At 37.5% G+C, this 6,966-nt stretch overlaps 1 annotated feature.

Annotated features, from left to right (window-relative positions):
- Nucleotides 1,001-1,502: an enhancer, noted in NCBI's record as "OCT4-NANOG-H3K27ac hESC enhancer chr17:68983705-68984206 (GRCh37/hg19 assembly coordinates)". NCBI's record gives its function as "activates a minimal SCP1, AML or CMV promoter by ChIP-STARR-seq in naive H9 embryonic stem cells {active_cell/tissue: H9 hESC(naive)}" and the evidence as "EXISTENCE:reporter gene assay evidence [ECO:0000049][PMID:30033119]".

Below are 6,966 nucleotides of genomic sequence, written 5' to 3' on the forward strand. Positions count from 1 at the left end.
ATTATTGCGCCTACTTAAATACTATATAAAAAGTTAATCTATTGATAATATATGACAGGTTAATGGAATTAATTCAGATGCAGTTGATCAGATCCATGATGCAGAAATATGTCATTAAATATTATCAAATCCTGCTAAGAATGTGGAATATTCAATCAACTATTTTTCCCAAGGCAATTAAATAACAACAATAAAAGCCTTCCTAAAATGCATGATGGCCTTGGGACAGAAACATTACCTTGTGTTAGACTTATAATAATATTATTAACTAGGTATCAAATTTCTTGAGTATAGAGATAGGAAAACTGAAACTTTGAGATTTTAAGTAACTGAGATCACATAATCAACAGAATGAAAAATTTGAACTTGGGCCAGTCTTGAACCCTGTTATATTTTTAACTATTAAGTTCAGAGGGTTAAGTCTTCATTGTTCACCGCAGTGATTTAAAACTACTTGAAGATTAATGGGGCCTAGGACATGCTACTCCAAAATATGGCACCTTGACATTTGAGAAAACAACAGGAACAGGAAGGCCATCTCCCCTTCCCCTTGCCATTCTCCACTGAAGCAGGTCATAAGAGCCTCATTCCAGGGGTACTCTCTCTACACCTGGATGAAAGAAATTTCTCTCTTAAGACATAGAGACACAGAGAAGAATCTGAATAAAAAGGCCTTACTAAATCTCTCCCTACCACCCCCAGTTTATTACCATTAGATCATGTCGTTTTCTCCTCCAATCATATTTCACTCTTCATCAAACCTAAGCATAAAAATACTTATACAAATTTATCTATTTTGGGGAGATCTTCATTTCCTTATGAAGTTTCCCACATCATTAAAAAATAAATAAAATTTATTCTATTAAATAAATGTGTATGCTTTTCTTTTGTTAAACTGTCTTTTGTTGTAGAGGTCTCAACCATAAAGCTTGTAATAGGTAAGAAAGAGATTTTTTTTATCCCCTACAAGATCATGTTTGCAAAATTCATGTTCTAGAAAAATGTCATTTTCTAGCAAAATAATTGGCATATATGTAAACAATAGTAACAAATTCACAATATGTTTAAAGATGTCTTTAGTAATTTTATTATTTTTTTATGTGTCCCCCCAATACATAAAACCACTTTCCCCAAATGTAACATTCTACATTATGGAATGATCTGTCCTTGAGAGAAGATTCAAAGGGAGAACCTGCAGTCACTGTTCTTTTTCCCTCCAGGATTAAGAGCCAAACTCTAACATTTCCTTTTGGTTTGCTAAGAAGAAGGGGGAAAAAAAAAACTACCCATGAGAGTACATTGAGACAACACAATTTGCATATCTTAACAGCCTCCCATGGTGCCCTGCAAGCAAAGAACAGTTGAAGGATATTGAGTTCCTTTTACACAGCATAACCAGCGGAAATTACCACCGATGTTAATTTGAAACAGAATGAGATAGCCAACTGAAGTGCCTTGAGGAAGTATACAAAGAGGGCCTTCTCTTGTTCACAAGGTGCTGACAGTGTGGGTGAGAGTCCATCCTGTGCAGCTGATGTAAGGAATGGCACATCCTTAAATCTCAACACCTGGGCAGAGCTTGGGAGATTTTGAAAGAAAGCTAGACAGACGGTTTCTCATAATGACACTGCAAAAAACCCCCAAAGCCATCTGCAGCTGGCTCACTTAGGAACCAAGTTTAAAGAAAAAAAATCTTTTTTTAGAAAGGCTCATTTATCAATGCCAACAAAGTTAAGCCGCTTAATAAATCCTAAGTTCCCATTTTGGGTAGATATATTTTTACATTATCACTATTTCCGAGAACTCTGAAGTTATTGGCTGTTGTACATAATGATAGGGTGGATCAACCTGTTTTAATCCCAAGTGCAGTCTGAAACGAGAGAAACACCAGTTCAAATGTAAACCAGTTGACCATTCCTTACAGAATTTCATTTTCTATTTGTTTTCACTATTAAAAATATCATCTCCCTTCAATCCACATGAAGTTCAAAATGGAACACATTAGGAATATTGCAGACAAGCATCTAAGATAAACTACCCTTCTGTGACCACAACTCCACCATCAATCTGCTTGTCTCCCCAAATAATCAGATTCTGTGTATTCATTAAACTGGTGATCAGTGTCTCAAAGATGCTTCGATTAAAATACTGGCTTAGAGAAACAGGAAAATGTTCTTCCTAAGTAATGAGAGGCATATTGGGGAGGCAGTACAGGAAAGAAAACTTATTACTTTAGAGCAAAATCAATTTTCTCTAACCTATGACATATAGCCTCTTAACACATAGGATGTCATGAGGTTAAACAGAATGAACATGATATAATGGCATTGTGTAAGTGTACAATGCAAAGCTATTCATTATAAAATAATTTGTTATACTATAGGTTCAGATACACTCTCTTGGAAGCCACCTAAAATCCTTTTTAGAACAAAGTGAGATAAGAATAAATAATGAATAGAAAATACTTCCCTCTGGTTGTATCATGAATTCCTGGCCTACATAATTTATGTACATTGGAAGACTACATTTTTTTTTAAAAAAAGAGAACAAAAATAAAACCTTTGAGTCTCACCCGAGAAGCACTTATCATTTTTTAAGGTTCAGTGATATGCTTGTGGCATGAGTAGTCAATCATACACAAAAGAGCATCTCTAACTATTATAGAACATGTGTTACCGGAACAGGGTCCTGATCCAGACCCCAAGAGAAGTTTCTCCAATCTCAAGCAAGCAAGAATTGGGGCCGAGTCCATAGAGTCAAGTGAAAGCAAGTTTATTAAGAAAGTAAAGAAATAAAAGGATGGCTACTCCAAAGACAGAGCAGCGGCATGAGCTGCATGACTAAGTATAGTGTGGTTGTTTCTTCATTATATGCTAAACAAGGGGTGGGTTATTCATGAGTTTTCTGAGAAAGGGGTGTGGAGTTCCAGGAGCTGAGGACTCCTCTCCTTTTTAGACTATATGCGGTAACTTCTGGACTTTGCCATGGCATTTGTAAACTGTCATGATGCTGGCAGGAGTATCTTTTAGCATGCAAATATATTATAATTAGCGTATAATGAGTAGCGAGGACAACCAGAGGTTGTTTTTGTTACCATCTTGGTTCTGGTGGGTTTTGGCTGCCTTCTTTATCACACCGTTTTATCAGCGAGGTCTTTGTGATCTGTATCCTGTGGGACCAGTCCTGTTGACCTCCTATCTTATCCTGTGATAAAGAATGCCTAAATTCCTGGGAACACAGCCCAGTAGGTTTCAGCCTCATTGTTTAAAATTAATATTTATCTTTATTTCAATAGCTTTTGGAGTACTAGTGGTTTTTGATTACATGGATGAACTGTATAGTGGTGAAGTCTGAGATTTTAGTGTACCCATCACCGGAGTGTACATTGTACCCAATATGCAGTTTTTTTATCCCTCACCCCGCTCTTAACCTCTCCCCCACCCTGAAGACCCAAAGCCCATTATATCACTCTATATGCGTTTGCGTAGCCATAGCTTTGCTCCCACTTATAAGTAAGAATATGTGGTATTTGTTTTTTCATTCTTGCATTTCTTTACTTAGAATAATGACCTCCAGTTCTATCCATGTTGCTGCAAAAGACATTATTTACTTCTAAAAATGGACAAATCTAGAGGCATCACATTACCAGACTTCAAATTATAAGGCTATAATTACCAAAACAGCATGATACTGATATAAAACTAGACACATAGACCAATGAAACAGAATAAAGAACCCAGAAATAAAGTTGAATATTTAAAAGCAACAGATCTTCAAAAAAGCATACAAAACATAAATTGAGGAAAGGATACCCTATTTAATACATGGTGCTGGGAAAACTTCTAGCCACATGTAGAAGAATGAAACTGGATCCCTATCTCTCATCATATTTAAAAAATCAACCCAAGATGGGTCAAAGACTTAAGTATAAGACCCAATGCCATAAAAATTATAGAAGATAACCTAGGAAAAACTCTTCTGGACATTGGCCTAGGCAAAGAATTCATGACTAAGACCTTAGACTCATTATACCCAGCCCCTATTCAAGATGAAGTTACTTTGGTTCAAATGCCTCTGACACATAAAATCTCAGCCTGAGGGACAATGAAATTCTTCAGAGAAAGGAAACAGTTTAACAAGACCTAATAAGCATGGAAGAATGATTTAACCTCAAAGATGGGATGGAACGGGTGTTGAGAGGCAGAAATGGAGGAGAAAAAAAACCTTTGAGATAAGATTTGGAGACAGAAAGAAAGCAGCACACATGTCTGAGACTGTCTATTGCAGGAGATGAAAGGAAGATAAAAATACAACTCTGGCCAGGCGCAGTGGCTCACGCCTGTAATCCCAACACTTTGGGAGGCCGAGGTAGGAGGAACACTTGAGGTCAGGAGTTCATGACCAGCCTGGCCAATATGGTGAAACCCTGTCTCTACTAAAAATAGAAAAAATAGCCAGGCATCGTGGCACATGCCTGTAATCCCAGCTACTTGAGAGGCTGATGCAGGAGAATCGCTTGAACCCGGGAGGTGGAGTTTGCAGTGGGCCGAGATTGGGCCCTTGCACACCAGCCTGGGTGACAGAGTGAGACTCCCTCTCAAAACAAAACAAAACAAAACAAAAACAAAAACAGCTCTGTAAGAAAGAAATGAAAGTTTTGCATTAAGAATGGAAGGAATGAGTTGAAAGACCATTGTTGTTTGTGTGCGCATGTTTCTCCCTAAGTTCTCTACTTCGAAAAGTACCATAATACAACGGGAATGCTTGGAGAAGAAAAGCGTATCCTTATTTCCATTTAAACTTCACCACTACTCCCTGTGGGAGGCAATATGGTCTCCATTTAAGGTAAACTGCGAGTGCCCTTTAACAAAGATGGCACCATCAAGGTGGCACATCTTTTAAATAGCAAGGCTCTAGGATTTGACCCCAGATCTAACTAAAAAATTTCAGAATGATTTTATTCTACATCAAATATTTGTCCTCAAACATTGAATGATTTCGAGATGTGGAGAATAACGTAAAACCTTGACAAGTAAGGTGGATGCAGTTTGTTGATGATATTGCAACAGATGCAAGATTTTTTCATGATTCTGTAACAAATATTTTTTTGGTTTTTGTTTTTTCTTTTTCTTTTTTTTTTTTTTTTTTTTTGAGATAGAGTCTCGCTCTGTCACCCAGGCTGGAGTGCAGTGGTGTGATCTCAGCTCACTGCAACCTCTGCCTCCTAGGTTCAAGCGATTCTCCTGCCTCAGCCTCCTGGGTAGCTGGGACTACAGGCGCGTGCCATCATGCCCGACTAATTTTTTGTATTTTTAGTAGAGACAGAGTTTCACTGTTTTAGCCAGGATGGTCTCGATCTCCTGACCGAGTGATCTGCCCACCTCGGACTCCCAAAGTGCTAGCATTACAGGCATGAGCCACCGCGCCCGGCCCTTGGTTTTGTTTTTCAAATGCCTAGGAAACATGCATAAATATTGCTAAATGGATATCTTTTTTAAAAAATTTGTGTAATTCTCCTACAGTATATTTACATTTATTTTTAAAACTGACTTTTAGCACTGCTATAAGGGATGTTATGTACTGCGAAAAGGCAATGAGATGGTTGCATAAATCAATAGTACATATTTGTAAGCTACGTTCTGCCTAGTATTTGGTATGCTTCTGAGGGAAAAAATATCACAATATGAGACATGGTTCTTATTTCAAAATGAGTTTCAGTCTCCTGGTAGTTGAAAGCCAATCTATACAGGAAAACCAGAAGGCATATTTAATCACACACAATCAAGTGTTTTATTGTTATTATGACTACTATTAGTAAGAGACTTCTGTGAAGAAGAGTATCAAGAAAAGCTTTGAACTAAAAACAGAAGAGAAAAAAGAATGATAAATATTTAGTATTAAGTCTCTAACATATAAAAAATTTGGTTAATGAATGAATAATTGGGAAAATAATTGAGACTAGGGAGCAAAACAAACAAATTATGCAAGTTGTAGCATATGGGGGAACTGTGCATCTGGCTAGAGAAAAATGTTTATTTTGTTCAAATTAGTTCTCGACAGATAATGGAAGGCTTTGATGTCCAAGCTAACGAACTGAAAATGAAAGTAGTCATTTCTATCTTCTTAAAGTTTGATATGGTTTGGCTGTGTCCCTACCCAAGTCTCATCTTGAATTGTTGTTCCCATAATCCCCATGTGTCATGGGATGGACCCTGTGGGAGGTAATTGAATCATGGGGGTGGTTACCCTCATGCTGTTCTCAAGATAGTGAGTTATCACGAGATCTGATGATTTTATAAGGGGCTCTTCCTCCTTTTTCTTGGCACTTCTCCTTGCTGCTGCCATGTGAAGAAGGACGTGTTTGCTTCCCCTTCTGCCATGTTTGTAAGTTTCCTGAGGCCTCCTCAGCCATGCTGAACTGTGAGTCAATCAAACCTCTTTCCTTTGTAAATTACCCAGGCTCGCGTATGTCTTTATCAGCAGCATGAGTACAGACTAATACCATGTTCTTAGAGAACCTTGTCTAATTACAATATTCTATGATCCTGGATGTCATACAAATCCCTGGTTTTTAAAGTCTGAATAGTTTTCTCCCACAACTTGTTTTAAAGAGTGAGGACATACTGGGCACCTGATTCTGAAAACACCTCATTCATAATAACACACTACCTATGTGAGATAAAAATGTAAATGAGCTGACTATGTTTTTTTATTTTGTTCTGTTTTGGTGCTACTAAAAGGCTATTCTTAAAACTGTTTATGTACATGAACAAATGTTTAAATTTGGTGAAAGTTCTGCCTGTTCAAAAGTGTTGGAAGAAAACTCCATCTCATCACAAGGGTCACATGTGGAGTAAGGTTTTGAATTTGGCTGCTCATCTTCCATTACCTGGCTAATGGGAAATTATGTAAGGTCTGGAAGATATTTTGGAAGCCTCTTCTATGTGTGGCCCTGAAATACTTTTG

Source organism: Homo sapiens, chromosome 17, assembly GCF_000001405.40.
Source record: "Homo sapiens chromosome 17, GRCh38.p14 Primary Assembly".
Lineage (NCBI taxonomy): Eukaryota > Metazoa > Chordata > Mammalia > Primates > Hominidae > Homo > Homo sapiens.